General features: G+C 37.9%; 1 long non-coding RNA gene across 2 annotated transcripts in view, besides 1 other annotated feature; it reads right to left on the minus strand.

The window, feature by feature from the left end:
- The window catches only part of LINC01876 (long intergenic non-protein coding RNA 1876), a 234,397-nt gene that overhangs the window by 145,363 nt on the left and 65,194 nt on the right, over positions 1-23,840 (minus strand). The window lies entirely within an intron of this gene.
- Positions 9,507-9,730: a silencer, noted in NCBI's record as "fragment chr2:157031916-157032139 (GRCh37/hg19 assembly coordinates)". NCBI's record gives its function as "represses an EF-1alpha promoter that drives an FKBP-Casp9 reporter gene in an ReSE screen in K562 erythroleukemia cells {active_cell/tissue: K562}" and the evidence as "EXISTENCE:reporter gene assay evidence [ECO:0000049][PMID:32094911]".

Below are 23,840 nucleotides of genomic sequence, written 5' to 3' on the forward strand. Positions count from 1 at the left end.
TGCCGTTGTAAGTACATATTTTGTCACTGAATAACAGACTGAACAGACGTGTAAAACCTGCATAACTTACCAGTGTGTGTAAGTTAAAGCCACCTCTAGGCAGACTTAAATTATAACCCTCTATGGAGATGGATTTTTTTAACTCTTTCAATGGTACATGTGTTTTATTTCTCCCATATTCTCATGTTTATAATAAGAGGTAACATTTATTGAGCTATAAAGGCTTGCTGTATAGTAGGCACTGTGTTTTTAAAAGAAAGAAATTCTAACATAAATTGTCTTATTTAATCATCTCATTGACTCTATGGGAGAAGTCCTATTATAACTGCAATTTCTCAAATGAGGAAACTGAGGCTGCAAGAGGTTAAATAATGTGTCCAAGATCACACTCATGTTAAGCAGTAAAAACTGAATTTGCACAACAGTCTGAAGCCAGAGCCCATGTTCTCAATGCATTACCTCAGCTCTGTTGGCTCATCCAGCACAGTCTACCTTGTGAGAAATACTTGTAAATTGGCCTGTCTATTCCTCACCCCAGATTATAACATCCCACAAGGGCCGAGGCATCATATTCCCCTCCTTTGAACCCCAATTATGCCTTAGCTTGACACTTTGCATACAGTGAGTGTCTTTTTTAATTGCCAGAGCATGCGTACTACACAGGGACAAATTCTAACAATTTAGATTTCTTCAGTTTCTTCCTTTGTAATGGCTCCAGGCACTATCCAAAAAAACAGTAGTACAGAGGCTAGTTTCAAACACAACTCCCCATGTACACACACACAAACACAAAGACGGCACAGGAGGGAAGTGATGAATGTGGCACAGACAACAGTAAAGAAATACCAGCAATTTGAAGCCCTGTCCCTGAATCCTACTCCTGTTGCCTTCATATCGAGAGTTCCAAGTGTTGGCCTGCAGTTAAGTTCTGAGCTAAAGGTACTAGTGTCTCTTCATAAAAAGTAAAAAGTCTAAGATATTGTTTCATCTACACTGGTATCTTGGACTACCATTCAGACCCAGATTCTGAGAGCCTCATTATCAGCCTTTCTATAAAGGGTCAGCGTGTTGAAATGAGTTAGAAATGGGACCATGTCCAGTTTTTCTAATCGTAGGTGGTAGACTTCAGTTCTTGGCAGTCCCAGGTTTGGAAATCTCTTTTCCATGGATCGATATTTAAATTCCCCTTAGTAGAGAAGACTAATCTTCTGTTGTTCTCAACAATGGATGCACATAGGACCTTGTCTTTTTGTGGTTCCAATAGAGTTGCAAGTTCTCACGTGCAGCAGCTTATTCACAGTTTTGGACCTAGCATAGGATCCATACACATTATAAGATACTGGAGAAAAAGATGACCGCAGGGAGAGTAACATGAATATCAGTAACACAAGCATATCCCACTAGTGGGAGCAATGGAAAGAGGGGAGATTCTTTCTTCACAGATAATTGATCTACAGTTCATGGCTTTTGACAGGCTTTCTTTTTTTTCTCATTGTATGCACTTATTTTTTCAAATATTATTTGTTCCATAACAAAGAAATATTACTTCCTTAGAGACAGGTTTTGAAAATGGGTACTGAATTTCTCAAAGGATGAAAATGACGGAGGGAGGCACAGCAAGAAGAAAAAGGTTCTGCCCTTGTAGTTTCATCTTCTAAACCATGGTGCTTGGGAAAGAGAAGAGTGCGCTAAGAGGAATACAACAAAGGCAAGAGATCTGAAAATTCTGGTTCTGAATTAGGGCCTATAATAATAACCAATTGCTTATATGCCATTTTCTTTTTTTAGAAAAAGAGTATCAAAAATGACTGTAAAACAATCATTAAATTATAAAGAATCATATACACTGCTGACAAATTTATTATTTCCTATATAGTTAAATTATTATTTCTCATTAAGAATGTGTTTTTAATTATTTATAGAAAATATTTTGATGTTTATTTTAAGAAAATTAATATTTGACACCTAAAGGAAGGTGTAACAAGCTTACAAAAGCTATACCTACTAATATTTTATTGGGAAATATATTCATAGCTGCACAATTTATCTAAAATGTTAATTTTTTCCAAACTAGAAATCAATCGTAACTCTCTATTTGACAAAGTTCACAAAGTAAACTTGAGGAGAGTAATTCAGCAGGTAGCAAAATCTTTGCATTAGGGACAAAGACAAAGGGAAAGAAAGCCCAAAGCAGTGATGCAAATATATTGGTGACAAAAGATTTCATTAAGGTTGCCTATTCATATGATTTCCTGTGTTAATGGCTATACAGAAAAGCTGGAGTTCCTTGGCAAGTTCAAACACCCTGAGAACAGTTTTGCATCACGTAGGATTACAAAAATTGTTGAGGTCATGGTAACAGCTGCCTTGAGCAAGATTTCTAACACTTCAGGGTTCCTAGGCCAGATGCTTCTGCCTTCTTGACCCCAAGAACACTATCCACATGCTTCTCTCAAGAAGCAAGTAACCTTGATTTTCACACGAGTCCACTTACACTTACCTTCATGCTCTACAGTATTTGAATCACTAAAGTCTCATTAATGTTGGCTTGCAAACTGATTATGTACTTAGCCTTTCTTTTTAGATGCTTTTCCCTTTAAGTGGACGTTGATTATTTTCACAGCTTAAAATTGTTTTCAAAATAGTAGCAAATTACTCTTATATTCCAAAAGCTTTTTGTTAAGAAGTTTAAATAATGAATGATAGGTGATGATTTATATATTCAGAGATATTTAAATTATTTTAAAACACACTTGCATTGACACTTGAATATCTGAAAATGATAGGTGGTACCAAATTGCAATGTTTCTGACCTACATGGGAAACCAATTAATAATGATTCTTCCAACAACAGTAACTCTGAGGTCTTATATTGAAATCACCAAGAGGATTTAACAGCATATCCTTACGGAAGTCATCTAATCTCTTTAGATCTTAGTATTCTGCTCTGGAAATGAAAAGGTTGAATGATTTGATCTCTAAATCCCTAACAATCTCAACCATTTTGACATAAGTTTCCAGGGAGAAGGAAGGAAGACGACTTGAGCTACCAAGTGGGCAGGTAAAAAGGGAAGATTGGAAAGGTCACGGATGACAAAATTCATATTTGGTGCTAAGACTTGGCCTGGTAAGCAGTGCTGAGAACCGGTAAATGTTCTGAGCTTATCTTCAAGATTAGGAGACAGAGTCAATCAAAAGGATTAATTTTTGTAAGTTTGAAGGCCCCTAAAGAGAGGCAGGAAATTCAACTCACTGATCTCGAGACTCCCTGTTGCCCTGTGATGGTATCTGTCTCAAATGAGGGGCCAATTCCGACCTTTTGTAGGGGAATCTTCCCTGCATGCTTCTCTCCTATATCCAGACCTTTGAATTTCAGGAGAAAAGGGGCCTCTGGCCTTAAACGGGCCACCTTGAGAGTCCAGTCACAAATTTCTGCAGCATACAGCAACTTCTCACACAAAGAGTAAGCCCCTCGATTATGCCTCTTTACACATGGCAAAGGCAAACTTAGTTTGAAATTTTTACAAAAAAGTAAATGGAATCTTACTTCTTCTTAATCCCTCTTATCCCTTTCAACTAATAATACAGAAGCAAATAACTTGGAGTTTGTGAAATTCGCTCAGGAAGTAATAGAAATACAATAACTCATCAATCCTTTCATAGACACATTGGAGAAATATGTATGACCTTTGACGCCTGGGAAGATTTTTGTCAAAGGCAAGGTCATCTAGAATTTTTCTCTTAAATGTATTTCATAAAGGTAATCTTGTTCTCCCATCCCTCCCCTTAACCCGTCAGAGACTTTGCTATTTGGATCATCTTTCTCAAGTGTTTATCTCTTCCTTCGAGTTCCTAGAGAGGAAAGTATAGACACTGCAATAAAGATTCATGTTCAAGAGATTACTTCTTTAATAGACTTTGATGGGTTCTAGATTAATTACAAAGTTTTTTTTCATATTCTCTGTTACTGGGAATAATTATCGATATTATTTAAATATGAAGGTTGGAAAAATTCTAAAGCATCATAAATTGTAACCCTCAATTTCACATGAAGAGACTGAAGCTCAGAGAAGTTAACTGACATCCAAGGTTGTTAATGACAAATGATTTAATCTGTTGACTCCCAGTCTAGTGCCATTTCAATACAATAAAATGCCCACTTTAGATAAAATCATGGATTGTGAAAGCTAATTTGGATTTTGCAGGTGAACTATACCATGCTCCTCCTCTCCAGTAAGGAAGCTAAGGACTCGCTAGTGCCCAGTTTCCCTAGGAGCCCTCGTTCTCTTCCCCAGGCAAGACCCACCTAATTGAATGAGGAGATAAAGACCTTGAGTAGAAGAGGACATGTGAACTCAAGATGACCAAAGGAGACTTGCCTCATAATCTATATTAGGCCTAACGTTCCAGAAATGCATCTCCCTTTAGAGTACCTTCACTTTTAAAAGGGAATTTAATTGTGGGAATTCAAGCACAATATGGACCAATGAGGTAAAGATCTTTGAGATAAGTGATGCCTTAAGGTCTTCAAACCAGTTCATTTAAACCAGAACTTGCTCCATCTCTGTGTAAGGCCTCCCTGTGCACAATCACAACCATTTTCCCAACCCTGAGGGATGACAAAAAACAAGTCAGTATTGTCAGTGCTAATACATGAATCATGACTGCCTGCAAGTAAATGGCTAAAGACAAAACAGAATTCTTATTAGGCTATAGTAAATGCTTCCAAAGTGGAAAAATGATCTGTAGTATACAAGTGATTGTTATTCATACTTTCAGTTCAGTTTTCTCATTTTTCCTTTTGTGGCTGGTGTTACTTTCCTTCATTTGTTGAGGCAAGAAATATACATTTATTATCCATACTTCATTAAGTTCAGTGGTAGGTCCTGGAATACAACTTTGAATGAGACAGACATGATTCCTGACATATTTGTTATTATAGAAAGAGGTATTTCAGGGTGATGAGAAAGCATATTACAAGAGGATACAACTACTAAAGATTCAAAGAAGACCTCTCTGAAGAAGTAAAATTTAAACTGAAACTTAGAAAGAATTCATCAGAGTTAGCAAGTCGCCAAGCAGGAGGAAAAGTGTCCTTAGGAAATGGAACAGCATATGCAGGAGACTAGAGGCAAAAGGAAACATGGCATGTTAAAGGAACAAAAAAAGATCAGTATGATTGAAACAGCTAGAGTATTGGCTGTCTGCATGTCTTCTTTTGAAAAGTGTCTGTTCATGTCCTTTGCCCACTTTCAAATATGGTTGTTGTTTTTTTCCTGTACGTTTGTTCAAGTTCCTCATAGATGTTGGATATTAGACCTTTGTTGGATGCATAGTTTGTAAAATTTTTTCCCATTCTGTAGATTGTCTGTTTACTCTGTTGATAGTTTCTTTTGCTTACAGAAGCTCCTTAGTTTAATTATATCCCATTTGTCCATTTTTGCTTTTGCTGCAATTGCTTTTGGTGTCTTTGTCATGAAACCTTTGCCCATGTCTATGTCCTGAATGGTATTAACTACATTGTCTTCCAGGGTTTTTATAGTTTTGGGTTTTATATTTAAGTCTTTAATTCATTTTGAGTTAATTTTTGCATATGGTATAAAGAAGGGATCCAGTTTCAAACTTCTGCATACGGCTAACCAGTTATCCCAGCACCATTTATGGAACACAAAATTGCCAGTTTTTGTCAGATTTGCTGAAGATCAGATAGTTGTAGGTGTGTGGTCTTATTTCTGGGTTCTCTATTCTGTTCCATTGGTCTATGTATCTGTTTTTGTACCAGTACAATGCAGCCAACAATCATATGAAAAAAAGCTCAACATCACTGATTAGAGAAATGCAAATCAAAACCACAATGCAATACCATCTAACACCAGTCAGAATGGCTATTACTAAAAAGTCAAAAAATAACAGATACTGGTGAGGTTATGGAGGAAAAGGAATGCTTACACACTGTTAGTGGCAGTGTAAATTAGTTCGGCCATTGTGGAAGGCAGTGTGGCAATTCCTCAAAGACCTAAAGACAGAAATACCATTCGACCCACAATACCATTACTGGGTATATACCCAAAGAAATATAAATCATTCTACCATAAGGACACATGCATGCATATGTTCATTACAGCACTTCACAATAGCAAAGATATGGAATCAACCTAAATGCCCATCAATTATATGCTGGATAAAGAAAATGTGCTACAGATACACCATGGAATACTATGCAGCCCTAAAATAGAATGAGATCATGTCCTTTGCAGGGACCTGGATGGAGCTGGAGGCCATTATCCTTAGAAAACTAATGCAGGAACAGAAAACCAAATACCTCATGTCCTCACTTATAAGTGAGAGCTAAATGATGAGAACACATGGACACACAGAGGGGAACAACACACACTGGGACCTCTTGGAGGGTGGGAGAAGGGAGAAGATCAGGAAAAATAACTCACGCATACTAGGCTTAATACCTGGATAATGAAATAAACTGTACAATAAACCCCCATGACACAAGTTTACCTACGTAACAAACCTGCACATGTACCCCTGAATTTAAAAGTTAAAAAAAAAACAGTAAGAATGACAATGAAAATACCCATGAATTATAACTACCTAGGATAAATATTTCTAAAAAAGAAAGGAACCCCATTGTACAACTGGAATCAACTCTGTTGATTTTGCTTACATGAAGCTTCTAAAGGGCTTCATGGGCCAGTGTACAAATGCCAGTGCTCTCTGTGGGCACGGGTGAGTGCTCTGATGTAGCAGGGTGCAGCCCATCCCCACTTCAACTGATACCTCCTATGGGGGAGCTTGCACTGGCTCAACTTTTTCTAACCCACTGGGCAAGCTTCCACCTCTCTTCTTGCAATGGGGTCTGCTCCTCTGGTCCTCTAAGGTGGATCTTCAGCAAATTGGATCAAATCTGGCCACTTTGCCCAGACTACAGGGACCCAGAGGCACAAACCATACCTGTGCCACATGAAGCAGTCAGTTTGTGGGTGGTTCTACTTCTCTTCCTTCTGCATAACAGTTCTCTCCACCTCTCTTTTCCTTCTGCCCAAGAAGTCACAGAGGCCAAATTAGCAGAAGTCTAAATAAAGACCAGGATGCCAATTTTTGTTTCTTGCAAGCACTCCAATTTCTACAAGTAATTATATGGAAGGTCCCTCACTTAACTGGCATGAAGAATGTTTCTCTTCCCTCTCCTATGGGGAAAGAGAAAAGAAAAAAATTCCCAACTCTCTGTCTTTCCCAGATGAGATGAATTCCTTTCCACAGATTTCACCTGTCCCCTCGTTCCTGTGCACTCACGTCTCTATCTTCTTGCTTTCCCTAGCCTTTTGCTTATAAAGTAGGAAAGCAGATGAGGAGTTATACATGCACAATCCACAGAAGGGAAAGAAAACTGATTGAAGAAATACATTTCCCACTGGTCTATTACCAAAAGATGAATTTATCAAATATGTATTCTTAAATCCTGAAACTCTGCAGGAGGCAGCGCATGACAATAGGCTGCCCCTTTAAGACTTCTTGCCTCAGGGACCACAGAGATCCATGCCCAGCCATTTTAAAGCAATCTTGATTCCCGAAGATGTTGACCCCTGGAATTAGTTTCCTTTTTAACTTCCCTTTTTCTGCTCCCTCATTTGCCTCTGATGTTTCCTGACTTTGATGTGTCTTCAGGATTCCAATTCTAGTATCCACACCATTACGCTCCTGGTGTCTTCTGTCCTGACACCCTGTAATTGAACTTGGCTTAACCCTCCAACTTCTCTCCTGCCTCTCAGGCTTCATATTGATCTTTTTCCCTGGTACTGGCCCCCAGGATATCTCTGGTTTGTATCTTAGTGTTGCAGATTCCTGATATTAATCTTCGGGATTAGGACACAAGAAATTCTCTGGAATTCCCAAAATCTGTATTTTTTATAAAACTTTATGATAGAAATAAAAATGAGTGACCATAATAATAAAAGGCAAATCAATTTTCTGATAGGATTTCCCACTAGTCATTCAGAGGTTTTTCTATTTAAAAAATAACAACTTAAAAAATAAATAAAATAAAGTAAAAAATAAAAAATAACAACTTAATACGTAAGGATAAGCTCATAATTAGTTACAGTATAAAACAATATATATTATAAAGTTTAATAACATAAATAATCTCAATTTTATAAACATTAAATAATTGAAAACATTAAAAGGAAACAGTACAAAAATACCAATTAAAAATAATTTTAAAAATTAAAAAAAGGCATAAAGATTTAATATTTAGAAGTTTGTACTCCTACAATGAAATTTTAAGTACACAAAGCATTAATTGCCCTATCTGAAAGTCTTGAACCTTGTCTCATGACAAATATCCCCAATGTAAAAAACTTCTTTCATCTTGCATTGACTTGCTAAGATTGCACCCAAAAGTACTTTCAAGCGGGATGTTGGGGTACATGTTACTTCATACAAACTATTCTTTTTTTAATGGTAAAATTATTCTGTTTGCTTGATCTGATTTTGGTTTTGCTATTGAAAGTGATATTGCTTTTGCTAATTTAGATTTTTGATTGATTTTCTACTTTTTGCATGAGTATTGAATTCAATTCTTTTCTTTACATTTTTTTCTGTTAAAGCACTTACAAAGAACTGTAGCCTCTAGCGAATAATCAAATACTGGAAAACTCCACTGAACATTATTGTTTAGGATTCAAATAAGGTAATATTCGGATCTCCTAGTAAAGTTAGCAGCACTCCACAGAATCACATTTCAAAAGTTCCAATTTAAAGGGTTGTTTTTCTTCCACAACTGGCTATTTCCTGGAACACCACTCATAGGACTTGTATGAAATATACTATGAGCATGAACTTATTTGTTTTATTTGCAAGAATGGCTCAGTGTTAGCAATAGACAGGGGCATGCACACACACACACACACACACACACACACAAACACACACAAACACACACACTTACAACCAGACAACAGCTATAACTGGCTGCAAGACGTTGAATACTTCTCTCCTCCTTGCTCCTGTTCCAGCTTCCAGAAATGTTTACTTTAACCTTTGATTCTCCTGTCCGTGTTTCTTGCTCTTCCTTTTGACTTAACATCAGTGGATTCCTTCAAACAGTAACATCTCGATGGTTAAGCTTTCGTTCCCACAGGAGAATTATAATGCCTTTTCCTATTTTCCTGAATTCTCAATGGAATTTTTTTTTTTTTTGCAGAATTCAGGGTTCAGAAAACATAAATTTCCTGAGAAATGTCAAGAAGGAACTCCTGCACGGAAACATTAAGTCTCATTATAGCACAACATATAGTCAATGCATGGTTTCCCAGTAAGTAGAATTTGCTAAGCAGATATAATGTCTTATATATATACATACACACACACACATATTGACATCTACATATATACACATATGTATCTGAAAAAAAAATCCAATTTTGGACATGAAAATATATGCCTCCCAAACTTTTCCATGTCATTGGACATGTAGAAACCACTCAAATTTGTAGCACACACTGGGGCACATGGAGGAGGTGAACCTGTGGCTTCTGTCACTCCAAGCCCTGGGAGCAGAGGAGATCAAAATATCAGCAGAGCAGTCAGCTACTTCTGCAGTCTGACATGGGTGTTCTCCCATAGGGGATGAGATATGACACTGACAGGTTGAAATGAACAGACTGAGCTAGGTAGGCCTCAAACAGAACCAAGCTTGGGTCCCTAAGAAAAGGTTCCACAGCATGGGAAGGGGAAAGAGCAACGATTTCACAGGGAGCGATTCTGACCTAAACTGTCCATCTACTTACTCATCAAAATGCATATTACTCAGACATAATGAATTGCAGGGTTTTCATTTCCTTTTGGTTTTGTGGGGTTGGGGGGATGGGATTATATATAAACTTATGTTTTTGTTAATACTTTATGATGTTGGCATACTGTACCTGTATGCTCAACTGGCCAGTAGATATTGGTCAGACTTAGTTGCTAAATGGGGCAATTGAGAAATAAATGAGTTGCCTGGATCCTGGGGTTATAGAGAGATATCTGCAGATATCTGTGAATGAAGAGAAAGAGCTGAACCATGGATTCTTTGCTCTTGTCTCTCTGTTCTAACTCTCAAGCATGTTGAAGTCCAAACTGATGTCACTGTATTCCTGGGAACCTGAAGCTCAGAAGACACTTCCCTTGAAATAATCACAGACTTCTGTTTGCTGATGAACTGGCTTAACCAACTAGTCAAGTCAGCTCTTGGGCAGTATACACAGAGTCATTTCATATCCCAAGGTATGTTTTGTGGAATTAATGTCCCGGGAGCTCATAAAAATTCCTTGAGAGATGACCTACTAGCAGGGGAACCCAACTATTTAGCACCAACTTACACTCATAAAGAAAACCATTAGAAAGCTGATATTTCACCACGTAGTGGTTCTCACCTCTGGCTGTACATAAGAATTTCTGGAGAGTTTTAATACTAATACCAAGTCCGATATCCCCCCACCCCTCAGTTATTCTGATTTAATTAGTGTAGGTGGGATCACGGCATCACCATTATTTTAGAGCACTCTAAGTGATTCTATTGTAGAGCCAGGAGTAAGAACTGTCATGCTAAGACATAGGGCCTTTACAAAGAAAAGATGCTGGCTTTTCCTATTTCCTAAGTAGCTACATTTATAACAAGAGCATTCAACTTTTTGTTTGGTTCACATCAATATATTTGATAGAAGTACTGATGTGTGTGTCTAATATATCTAACCTACTGGCCGTCATTGCTTAGTTTAGGCTGTTTTAAATATGCTGAGAACACTTACATTTGCCTGTGGTTAAGCAAAATCATCAACCACAAAGCCTATTTTATATTATTAATACAGTACAGTGTTGAATATCTCATAATTTCTTGAATACTTTACCACAAATGAAAAACAGAATGGTTGTATGGGTACTGGAAGTACACAAGTATGGTTTCTACTGAATGTGTATCACTTTTGCGCTATCATGAAGTTAAAAAATCATAAGTCAAACCATCTTTGTTGGGAACACTCTGTACTTATGACATTTAGGCCTATCTGTCGATGGAAGAAAAGTCTGAGGTTTGCAGGTATGAAGCAGAGGGACACTGCAAATTTTAATATGGATAGAAAAGCTTTAGGAAAAGAATGTATAAAAGTTTTGGGTTTTTTTTTTCGTTTTGTTGTTGTTGCTGTTGTTTTGAGACAAGGTCTTGGTCTGTAGCCCAGGCTGGAGTGCAGTGGCATGAGCTCAACTTACTTCAAGCTCCACCTCCCAGGTTCAAGTGATTCTTCCACTTCAGCCTCCCGAGTAGCTGGGACTACAGGCATGCACCACCATACCTGGCTAATTTTTTGTATTTTTAGTAGAGATTAGGGTTTCGCCATGTTGACCAGGCTTGTCTTGAACTCCTGGCCTCAAGTGATCTGCCCACCTCAGCCTTCCAAAGTGCTGGGATTATAGGCACGAGCTGCTGCGCCCAGCCAAGAAGGTACAAAAGTTCTGAAATAACACTATAGGCTTAAGGAATAAGGGACCAGAAGTAGCCTGGTAGCCAGTGTATTTCTGGCTTTATACATTCCTTAGGAAAAAAAAAAACTTTATAGATGTATTTAAGTAGAATTAAGGTTTACACAAATGATTTTTTGAGAGAGAGAGTCCCTAGGACCTAAACATTCGTTCTACGGAGATAGGGTCAACACGCAGATATTTATTTAGCAGCATGGTCTGCAGAAGTAGGAGGAGGTGACCAGATGTGATGGATTATGCCTGTAATTCCAGCATTTTGGGAGGCTGAGGTAGAAGGATTACTTGAGCCCAGGAGTGTGAGACCAGCCTGGACAAAATAGCAAGACATCATCTCTCCAAAAAATAAAAAAATTAGCGAGGTACGGTGGCATGCACCTATAGTCCCAGCTACTGGGGAGGGTCAGGTGGGAAGATTAGTTGAGCCCAGGAGTTCAAGGTCACTATGATCACACCACTGCATTCCAGCCTGGATGACAGAGCAAGACCCTGTCTTTAAATAGAATAGAAAAAAAAAAAAAAAAAGAAAAGAAAAGGAGGAGTTCAGACGTACAAAAATTTAGTATTTAGTGTGAAAAGAGTGTGAGTTTGATCCTGTGAAAGAACTCAAAGAGAATCTGCAAGGGTGGTGAGGACAGAAGCAGGCAGACAGTCCAGGGCCTTGGGTTTAGTGCAGTCTGATAGGGAGGCACATACTGAGGAGGATCAAGTCCCAGATTACACAGTCCTAAGGACTCTCATCACTACAAAAGCACCAAAAATGAACTCAGGTTTTATGCAAAATATTACCTTAGAGTTGCAGAAAAGACAGGCAAGTTATGTAAATTGAAACTTTCTGCCTCAAACATGAATTTACTGAACAGTTTATTTTTGAACTTTGATGCTTAAAAAAAAAAGTCATTGCTCTTATTGAAATAACCGAACTATTTCACCTCATGTGTGATAACTCTCATTAACCCACTCTTTTGGTACATATATTACACAGTCAAGCAATTAATGTATTTTTCTAGTATCTAGCAGAATTGTAATGAAAGGGGAAAACCCAAAATATTTGAACTTGTTAATATAATTTTCCTCAATTACAGGAAATATCTGTAGAGACAAATGGAAATTGAAAAGTAGCATGTGTCTGATCTATTCCTGAGGCTGAAAAATCCTTTTAAATTTGGGTTTCCTAAGATCCTAATCTATAAAACTTTGATGATAACAAATGCTTTTCTCTTACATTGCTATTATATGTCAAAATTAATGACATATAGCTATAGTGTTCTACAAGGCTTTTAAAAATAAAATAAAATAACTAAATGTAAGATATAATCAATGTTTAAAAGTAGTATTCAATGATTCTTTTCTAGCAAACTGAAAAGAAATTTCTCCCCTACTTCCAAAACGACACACACACTCATATCCATGCACACATATACACATATATGCATATCTTTACTTGTTGAGAATTAGTCAGAAGAGGAAGAGGAAAGATAAATTTCTTTTCAGAAATTCCAACCCAAAGTTTAGCAGTGGAGATGGTCAGTCGAGTTACAAAAGCTTTAATAAAATAAAGTGTCTCAGTATTCCAATCATCACTTTATCAATCTATCTGGAAGGATGTGGAACCACTGGACTCGTAAGTTCAGAGAGTATTGAGACTTGTCACTCATCTGGTTCAAACTTACCTTGACAAAAAGAAAAATAAGGACCCTACAAAGTATCAAAGTTATGATAAATGAGAGAAATCTGTTTAATTAAAGCTTCTTTCCATTAGCAACCTGTTCTTAGTTCTTATAGACCTATGATTACCAAAATACATAGCATATTTCAGACTACATTAAGCCCATGTTGTAAACCCTTCTTTGCGTATTTTATTCTCAAACACCTGCCTGAGGAATTATGCTAGAGCAAAGTTACATTACAGAATAGAAATGCACTGGTGCCACATTTCTAAATGACACTATTTTAAAAGATGCCCTTTAATTTTATTTTGTCCATCATTAATTTTTACGGCATCTCTCTTCCAAGGGGCAAAAGTTTTCAATATTATCTCTTTTAGCCTTATGACACCGCTCATGAGTAGGAGGCTCTCACTTATTTGGAATAATAAAATATGTTTAATTCAGCTTTGCATCATGCACTAAGTCAAGAGAGTGCTTTGCACATAATCAGTAATAAACATACTTTTAAAACAACTATCATTAAGGAACATATGTGTTAGTGTAGGTTCTCCAAGAAGCAGACACCAAGAAGCAAGGATTTTATTGGGAGAATTACTTGTGACAGAACATGAAGAGGGAGCCTTCAGATCACAATGCAAGTCTGTAGTCTCCAAGTAAAAGAGAAGGAAGGTGGGGTGAAAGTGTCCTAGACTGCCGTGAAGTATAAGGAAGGTTCAAAAAGGCTGTCAAGGTGTCTTTGAGCCAAAGTGACCACACTGAGAGGCTGTGTTCCAGGAATGAACCTGCCCTAGTATCCCTCTTGCACCCAGTCATTCACTGGCTGGGAGCAGCCTACACACAGCCTCATTGCCTATGTATTGGTGGATTTCAGATCTCAGAAGCCAGTGCTGTTGTTCACTCATGCTTCCTGTAGCTGGAGGTCTGCAAGTTCATTTCTCATGGCCACTGCAATGGTCTGAATGTTTGTGTCACCAGAAAATGCATACACTAAAATCCTAGCTCGCAAGGTGATAGTATTAAGAAGTGGGGCATCTTGGAAGGTGATTAGCTTACAAGGGCAGAAATCTTGTGAATGGAATTAGTGCCCTAATAAAAGATGTCTCAGAGTACTCTGTCTCCTCTTCTCTAGTGAAAAGGCAGTAGTCTTTGAACCAGAAAGCAGGCCATCCAAGACACAGAATCTGCCGGTGTCTTGATTTTGGACTTCCCAGTCTCTGAAACTATGAAAAATAAATTTCTGTTGTTTATAAGTCATTCAGTGTATGGCATTTTGTTATAGCCCAAACTATCTAAAACAGTTACTATAGCACCTATCATGTGGCAGACGTTGTCACACATATACTTCTTCATTACAACAACTTTGTAAGGTAGTATGATCATCCCATTTCACATGAAGAAATTTGCATCTAGTGAGGTTCACTAACTTTCCCAACTGAAAGCCTGTATGAAGTAGAACCAGAATTCAATTTCATGTCCATCTGGATCCAAAGCTTATTTGTTGAATTAATTAATTAATGCACAAATAAATGAAGAGGGGTTCCTTAGATGTACAGGAGGCTTAAAAAGACAAGTAAATTTACAATTTTAAAGCTGATGGGCCAGGTTCAGTGGCTCACACCTGTAATCTCAGCACTGTGGGGGACTGAGGCAGGTGGATCACCTGAGACCAGACTGGCCTGGCCAACATGGCGAAACCCCATCTAATACAAAAATTAACCAGGCATGGTGACACAAGCCTGTAGTCCCAGTTACTGGGGAGGCTGAGGCATGAGAATCTCTTAAACCTGGGAGGCAGAGCTTGCAGTGAGCCGAGATCAGCCCACTGCACTCCAGCCTGTGTGACAGAGTAAGACTCCATCTCAAAAAATAAATAAAAAATAAAGTAATAAAGCTGTTGCACAGAGAAGTAAACCATATAGCGACTTTGCTAGCAGGTAATTAAAACGTGTTTTAAAAACAGATGTCCCATCTGATTTTTCTCTCTACTAAATTACAGTGTTTTTGTGTAGTTTGAATTTTTATTGTATCAATACAGATATATTTTATAAGGGAAAGTGTAAGTCTACTTCACAAAAAGTTCAACTTTGTTCACGGTTTCTGTCCTACATATAAAACTAAATAATTAAAACTATATGCAAATTCACCTGTGTACATCAAGAGAGGAAGAGTCCCTTATAATATGACCTATATTTGTTCAGCTCCATGGAAACCATTTCATTCCATTATCCACATGATTTACATAAAACTAAGGGGGAAAAAGGTAAGAGATGTGAAGAGGCAAAACCTGAAAGGAAACAATAGGGCATCATTCATGACTAAGAAGTTGAGGGGAACCCAGGGCTGTTTCCTGAGCCTGTGCAGGTATACAACACAGCCATCCATAATCGTGCATCTGTCTCTAATAGCATAAGATATAGTGAAAAGGAAAAATCCACACTTCCCCATTCCAAAACAGGCATTTGGACAACTCAGGTCCTCTTTAAGTTGCTGAATCTTGTTTACTCAAAAAAAAAAGCTCTGTCTGACTGCAAAATATAACAATAACAGTAACACACACACACACACACACACACACACACACACACACACACACACAAAGCACATCACTTACTTTTACTTATTCCACCGAAAGAAAATAGAAAAGGAAGAAATAGCCCAAATAACTCAGGCCCCACCTCTATTGCTGCTTGAAATACTGTAAGTAATTGAAGAAAAGTCAGAGAATATTGCTTGAATTATATAGTTATTTGCTTCAATTGTTCCCTTCCGTATGTCTTAGATATCTGGCCATCCCACAAGCATAACAGATTGCCAATCATGCACTCATGAAGGTAAACCAGGGCTACCACCCTCCCCCTAGCTCTCACATATTTGATAATCCCAAAAATACTGATTGCATAACATCTTCTTTTTAAAAAGTGGTTCTTTGAACGTATTTTTTTCATGGAGTTTACTGTTCTGAAGCACAAATGAGTTCTTTGCCTGTTTCTGAACAAGGAAAATGGTTCTTGCTGTGGAATACAAAGAACAGGTATACCTGACCTTGAGAATGTTTGCTCTGTGTGTGTATTCCACTTGAAGTAAAATGGTCCTGGATTTAGGTATCAGTGAGCTGAGAAACACAGGCACACCATGCCCTTAGAGTAAAGCTGATTTAGCTCTGACACTTCCCTATTTGCCAAGCCAAAGCTGTTGCACAAATCACACAGTCTGTAAAAGAGAAAGGGGAAAAACTGCTTCATCCAGTTTTTCTGCCTAAGGGCTGAATCAGATACACCTCAGCTTCAATTGTAAACCTCTCCCAGGAAGTGAACTCCTAACCGTGACATCAGCAACCTTGTCTAGGACACGTACATTTTCAAGGAGTGACAGCTTGAGGCAACTATTCCAACCTATTTACCAAAAAGCATAGTGAATTAAATTCTTCATGTAATTTGATTTAGAAAGGGATTCCTTTCCAGGTTATATTTCTAGTTTCGTCTGGTTAGGAAATTTGGTGGGTAAGAGAATACAAAAGCTGTTGAAGTAATAATGATTGTTGTCTTTCTGGTTGACTTCTATGCCACTTGCTTTTGAATTAAAAAGTGCAATGAAGGCTGCCTCTATAAACATTTTTTAGTATTTGGATTAGTCAGTTTCTAGATGCCAGGAGGACACTTACCAAAACCATAACTCATTCTAACTAGTAGGAAAATTATCTGATTATAAAATTAGTATCATTTATTACTTTTATCATTGTTAATTCTCCTGGAACGATAATGATCATATCAGCTTCAGTTATTATTTCAAATAAAGACAACCATCCTAACTAGAGCCAAGATGTTTTGTTTTTATACATGAAAAGGAGTTTAAATAATATAGCAATAAAATGGAATTGTGGTTGAGGGTAAATTGTTAAAAAAAAACTTAATCTAGGCTGATAAACACTGGAGATCTATATTAAACTGATATCAGTTCCAAAAGAAATTGTATACCCAATGATTTTATAAAGTATTTCAAAGCAAAATTATGACAATGAGAAGGAAAACAAATATTCCCAGTCAACTCAAATTTTGTTTTCCTGATTTCATGATGGGTTAGTTAATCTCCTAAGAACACTTAAGAGGTATTATACTCTCCTCCTGTGGCAAGAAAGGATGACTTCAATGTCAAGCTAAGCGTTTTCGGTTATACCCAGTGTATAGGGAAAGTCCACGGAAAATTTTTGTGTGAAACAATGATTTTAGAAATCTAACTTGGCAATAGTATGAAAATTAAATTGGGAGGAAAAGAAGACAGAAAGATCATTTGGAAAATTAGTAAAATAGGACAAATTTAATTAAGAATATGCCGAGAGAGGTAAGAAGAGTGATGAAAGCAGCATGAAAGTAAGCTTTTGGAAAGTTAGCAAGTGATTGAACGCAGAAGCTGAGGGAATTAGGAACATGAGAAGGTTTAGCGAAATGTGGAAGAAGTTGCATTCTTTTTATTTCTTTTTTTATCTTATTTTTTATTTTTTTATTATACTTTAAGTTCCAGGGTACATGTGCACAACGTGCAGGTTTGTTACATATGTATACATGTGCCATGCTGGTGTGCTGCACCCGTTAACTTGTCATTTACATTAGGTGTATCTCCTAATGCTTCCCTCCCCCCTCCCCCCACCGCAAAAGTTGCATTTTTCTTTGGAGCATGCTGCATTTAGAGATTTGCAGCAGAAAATTCCCAGTGTAGAACAGAATCTCCAGTAAGATATGAAGAGTAGCAATAACATCATCACTAGCCATCCACTTAGAGGTAAGAGTTGAGTGTGCCTGATATTGCCAACATGGAAAAATAGGCTGATGATAATCAGGGACTGAACTTTGGAAAATACCTACATTTGGAAAATTAGAAGAGGAAAAAGAATTAAAGAATGAAACAGAATAGTTGAACAAATGTATGAAAAACCTAAGATGATACCATCTAAAACTTATTTTGCAAAAAACAAAGGAATTTTTGAAAGATGAAATATTGGAGACTAAGAATGTAAAGAAGGAAGAAGAAACAAGACTATGTAGCTTGTAAAAGTTTGCTTACAGGATTTGGAGTATTATTTCACATCCTGTCCTGCAGGCTGGGAGAAGACCATTGAAAACAGAAGTTAAAAGTACCAGGGTCCTGGCAGATGCACTAAATTGCGCTACATATGACATAGAAGGCACAATAACGAAGGATGGGGAACATTTTTTCCTCAAAATGAAGAAAGAAGAAAAAAACCAAGAGATTGTAATGGTGTAAAATCGAGGGAGCTTGAGATAGAATGTCTAAGGTAATCTGCAAAGGAAATGGCGAGGGGCGGGAGCACAGAGCAGAGGATTGGGTTTTGAAATAAGCGAGAAAGGTTGGAACATGCGCTTTGGAAAATAGGATATTATAAACAAGTCACTGTAACCGGGCACTTTCATGTCACTATGTATTTCCACCATAAGCATGGTATTTTTCTCCCATGAATTTTTCTCTTTCACTCAATATCCTAGTTGCTTTCAAAGCCATTGGATAATTAATATCCTTGATAATTAGCTAACCCACTGAAACTTATACTCTGCAACTATGGTCTAACTTGTCACTACTTTTTCTACAAATTAAGAGATTAAAGAGTTTGACCAGTTACTACACTTTCAAATAAACTAAAAAAACTTAAAGTCTTCACTTCTTGCTTTGAACACGGCACTAGAGTATCAGAAAAATTGGTGCTGACTCCTTAGAGAACAAGTGCCTTGGCATTTGGCCCCTTCAACTTGCTTCTATCATGTCAAAGTCTATTGTAGTACAATATATACCATTGTTTTCTTGTCCTAAATTGTCACATCCTGTTGCTCTGCATGAATCTGTAAGTGCCAAGTTACGCCCTAAAAAGAGATGTTTTCCAATGGTGGGTCTATGGCACAGTTTATTAATAAGAATCTTAGTTCCAGATGAAAGAACAGATCTGGGAAGCAGGCTTCTGGAGCATGCATTGCCAAAAGGAACACATGAAGTCAAAAGTGGTGAAAAGGTGGCTTTTAACATTCTAGTACATGATTATATAAGCATGTGTGATATCAAATCTTTCTTTAGAAATTGACAAGGAACCTGCTTGAGCACCAATTTAAGGTTTTACTATTAAGAAGACAACAAATATTTAGTTGAGAGTGTGTCCCATAGCTTACCTGACAAAAATGTCCAGAATGACAATTCCATTAATATCAAAGTTTATATCCAGACAGGAATTCTCTGAAGGCAAATGTTAGCCCCAAATAAACCTAATTGGGAACAAGAATTTCACCAAATCCTACAGGGTGGTCAGGACTATCCAACATCTCTTTACTCAAAGGAATGGACTTCTGGAATAATGTATATATTAGTTAAAATGAGTTTCATCTGAACATATGCATGCCATATTCATACCAGGAAAGCAGAAGAAAACACTGAAGAGTCACCTATCTCACCAGGTCCTCCTTTCATGAATAGCTGAACATACCAGCAAGGAATATCTGTCTCTCTCTCTCTCTCTCTCTCTCCCCCTTCCCCTTTCCATTCTTCCCTATTCCTTCCTCTCCTTCTTCCTCTTTGTCTCTCTTTGTTAGAGATTTCCAGTGCCAAGTAGACAAAATTCTTCTCAGCAGATCTACTCTAATGTTTTATTGCCACAGTGTTGAACTTGTTCATTCACACTGAATTAAAAATTTATCTATTCCAATAGTTGTATAGGTAATATACTTCAGTTTTCCATGGAAAGTAATTTTCTATTTTCTTCTTTTAAAAGGTAAAATTCTATGTAACAAATCTGCACATGTACCCCCCTGAACGTACAATAAAAGTTGAAAGAGAACAAAAAGTTGACATACCTTTTTTCTACCTTGGTGCAGAAGAAAAAAAGGCTTTGGCTTTTACAAAAAAAAACTTATTTAAAAAATAGTCAATGATTCAACTAAAATTATATTTATAAGAGTATCATGTATGAAAAAATAATTTTATTTTATTTTATTTCATTTTTTTGAGACAAAGTCTCACTCTGTCACCCAGGCTGGAGTGCAGTGTCAACGATCTCAGCTTACACAACCCCCACCTCCTGGGTCCAAGCAATTCTCCTGTCTCAGCCCCCTAAGTAACTGGGACCACAGTCACAGGCCACCTCCACTGGCTAATTTTTGTATTTTTAGTAGAGAAGGTGCTTCACCATGTTGATCAGACTGGTCTCCAACTCCTGACCTCAGGTGATCCACCCACTTCAGCCTCCCAAAGTGCTGGGATTACAGGTGTGAGCCACCATGCCCGGCCAAAGAAATTGTTTTTTAAAAAGCCAAAGTGTGGTCAGGCGTGGTGGCTCACGCCTGTAATCCCAGCACTTTGGGAGGCCAATGTGGGTGGATCACCTGAGGTCAGGAGTTCAAGAGCAGCCTGGCCAACATGGCAAAATCCCATCTCTACTAAAAATACAAAAATTAGCCAGGTGTGGTGGTGCATGCCTGTAATCCCAGCTACTTGGGAGGCTGAGACAGGAGAATAGTTTGAACCCGGGAGGCAGAGGTTGCAGTTAGCCGAGGTTGTGCCACTGCACTCCAGCCTGGGCGACAGAGTGAAATTTTGTCTCAAAAAAAAAAGAAAAGAAAAAGCCAAAGTGTGCATATTATTAATAAAGCAATGCAGTGATTTTAGATATTAATTTTGAAAAGAAAAGGAGAAATTCTTTGGGAGGCCAAGGCGGGCAGATCACCTGAGGTCAGGAGTTCCAGACCAGCCTAGCCAACATGGTAAAACCCCGTCTCTACTAAAAATACAAAAATTAGCTGGGCATGGTAGCAGGCCCCTGTAATGCTAGCTACTTAGATGGCTGAGGCAGGAGAATCGCTTGAACCCAGGAGGTGGAGATTGCAGTGAGCTGAGATCATGCCACTGCACTCCAGCCTAGGTGACAGAGTGAGACTCTGTCTCAAGAAAAAAAAGAGAGAGAGAGAGAGAGAGAAAATTAATTTAATTAAACTGAATAAAAAGGAAAACTTTCCTAAACAAGAGATGTTTACTAACTAAATATCCAAAGATCTTTTCATCTCCTTTGGAGAGCCTACTTCCTTTCCTTGTAATGATTTTTGTTGTTTCCCTCTAGGTTGGTATTGGTTTCTCCACCTACCTTTAAAAATGCAGTAGTTAAAACTCGACATATTCAAAGTAAATTTTTATTCAACATGAGACTGCTACGTTTCCCACTTTTGAGAGCTTCCTTGGGATTATGGTGACCTTAACAAAGCTTGTAGCCTATAGGTGACTCTGTCCACTAACATTCAGAAGAAAAAATCTGAGCAGTGAATGATCCAGGGACAAGACTGTTCTTTCACCAAGTATAACTCAAGCATACACAAGCTAGCAGCAAGGGTTCAGAGATTCCCAAGCTATTGGAAAATTATAACTTTTAGTTCCTTAAAATGTGTGTTAGAAGCCACCAGTCATCAAACAAAATATGTTTCCTTTTTCATCCATGATAACAAGATTGTAGCAGGGTATGTGAATAGACCACATTTCCCAGCCCCCTTGAAGTTGGATGTGGCTGTATGGCTTAGTTCTCTCCAAAGGATAATGAGTGGAAGAGCTATCTGCCATTTCTGGATCTGAGCTTGTAAGGGAATCAGTATGCCTCTTCTGCGCTATTGTTCAATTTCCATCTGCTGAAGGCAAATAGCAATGAGGCCCTAGAACAGCAGACATTTTTTCCCTCTAGCAAAGACATCTAGCAAGAATAGCGATATTTTGGGTTGCCATTACTGAGGGATGCTACTGGCATCCAGTGAGTAGAGGCTAAGGATGCTACTAAACCTCCTACAGTGCACAGATTTGTCCTCAAAAACAAACAATGTCAATAGAGCCAAGATGGAGAAACCTTACATCCCTACTGTAAAGGATGACAGGGCTACAATATTGAATTTGCCCAGTTCCCTGGATGACTACAAAGAGCAGAGCTATCCTGCCTGCCTGAACACTTTCCAGGACTATTACCAGAGATGGATAGAAATTTCTACTGTGTTAAACCTAAGAAGTTTTGAGTCCACTCGTTACCACAAACCAGCCTACTGTAACAAGAAGGTCACATAACATGTAATGTTCAATATACAAATTGTTTTAAACAATGACACATATACATCTCCAACAATCTTTTCCTCATTCCTTTTTTGTTCCTTTGTTAAATATATTGGCATTTTAAATTCCTTTCCATGTCTTCACATGCTTATTTCTGCAGGGTAGTCTTACTGTTTGTTTCCAGTTTTCTTTGGGTGCATTGCTTATAGTAAAACATAAGCTTCATAGGGGCAGGAGCCATGTCTGTGCTCCCATGATACATATTGATCTAGTATTGTGTCTTATACAGAAGTAGACTTAGAAATATTTGCTGAATGAGCCAGGCATGGTGGATCACACCTGTAATCCCAGGACTTTGGGAGGCCAAGACAGGAGGATTGCTTAAGCTCAGGAATTTGAGAGCAGCCTGGACAACACAGCAAGACCTTGTCTCTACTAAAAATAAAAAATAAAAATTAGTAGGGTATGGTGGTGTGCACCTGTAGTCCCAGCTACTTGTGAGGTGAAGCAGCAGGATTTCTTGAGACCAGAAGATTGAGGCTGCAGTGAGCCATGATCACACCACTGCTCTCCAGCCTGGGTCACAGAGCAAGACCCTGTCAAAAAAATAAAATTACTAAATGAATTGCAGAAAAGAAGATCTTAATAAAAGAAAACAGTCTATGAGATCAGTCTTGGATAAGCTGTTTCCAGTATATTAGCTAAAATTGATCAAGGGTTCATCTTCGAAACACTCACAAACTACAGTTAAATGAGTCATTCTAGAATTTTTGCTTAAAGTAACTTCATACTCACTAGATTATAATCTGTAGAATCTACCTCCTTGTTTTTGAAAACTCCAATATTATTAAGTAATGAGGCCATCTGGTCCTTGTCATTATAAAAACACTGATTCTTCTATTTTGAGGTGAAATTATAATCTTGAGCAACACCAACAGTTATTGACTTTTTCAAATTAGGAGGTAATTCTTAAAAGAATGTTAATAGTTCAAGTCAGCATCCCTTTCTAGCTCTAAACAAGGACTTTTGCCTGTGAAATAAAGGAGAGAAATAATATATATTTCACTTTCAGAAGACCTTTAAATGGCAATGAAGAGACACACCTATGACTGGTGATTGATAGCAGGTGCAACGTGCAGTTAACTGTGGGCTAAAATAAACACCTCGACCAGCACTATGCACACAAGAGACCTCGGTGAATGGAGTGGTGTGTTTAGACAACGATTGCTGGAGAACAGTGTACCCATAGTTAGCTCATTCCTGTAAAGGATATGCTATCAACCTGTTTTAGATTAGGAAAAATAAATTTCGTTGTTGTTTCTTGCTAGCCTCGAGTCCTACCTTCATTTAACTTAGTGATTTTTGTGCTTTCTCTGGGTCTACATTTCTATACCAAAAGGAGAGAGTGGAATGTGCAAGGTTATCAAAAGAATGTAACCAGGCACAGGGCATTTGAATAATCTTCAGTGGCCCAGAGTCGAACAGAAGCTAAACTGCAAACTCCTTAGCTTGTCATTCAAGGTCTCCTACAGTCAGTATCCAACCTACTTTGGCTGAATTACCTTCGAA

The sequence above is a fragment of the Homo sapiens genome, chromosome 2 (assembly GCF_000001405.40).
Source record: "Homo sapiens chromosome 2, GRCh38.p14 Primary Assembly".
Lineage (NCBI taxonomy): Eukaryota > Metazoa > Chordata > Mammalia > Primates > Hominidae > Homo > Homo sapiens.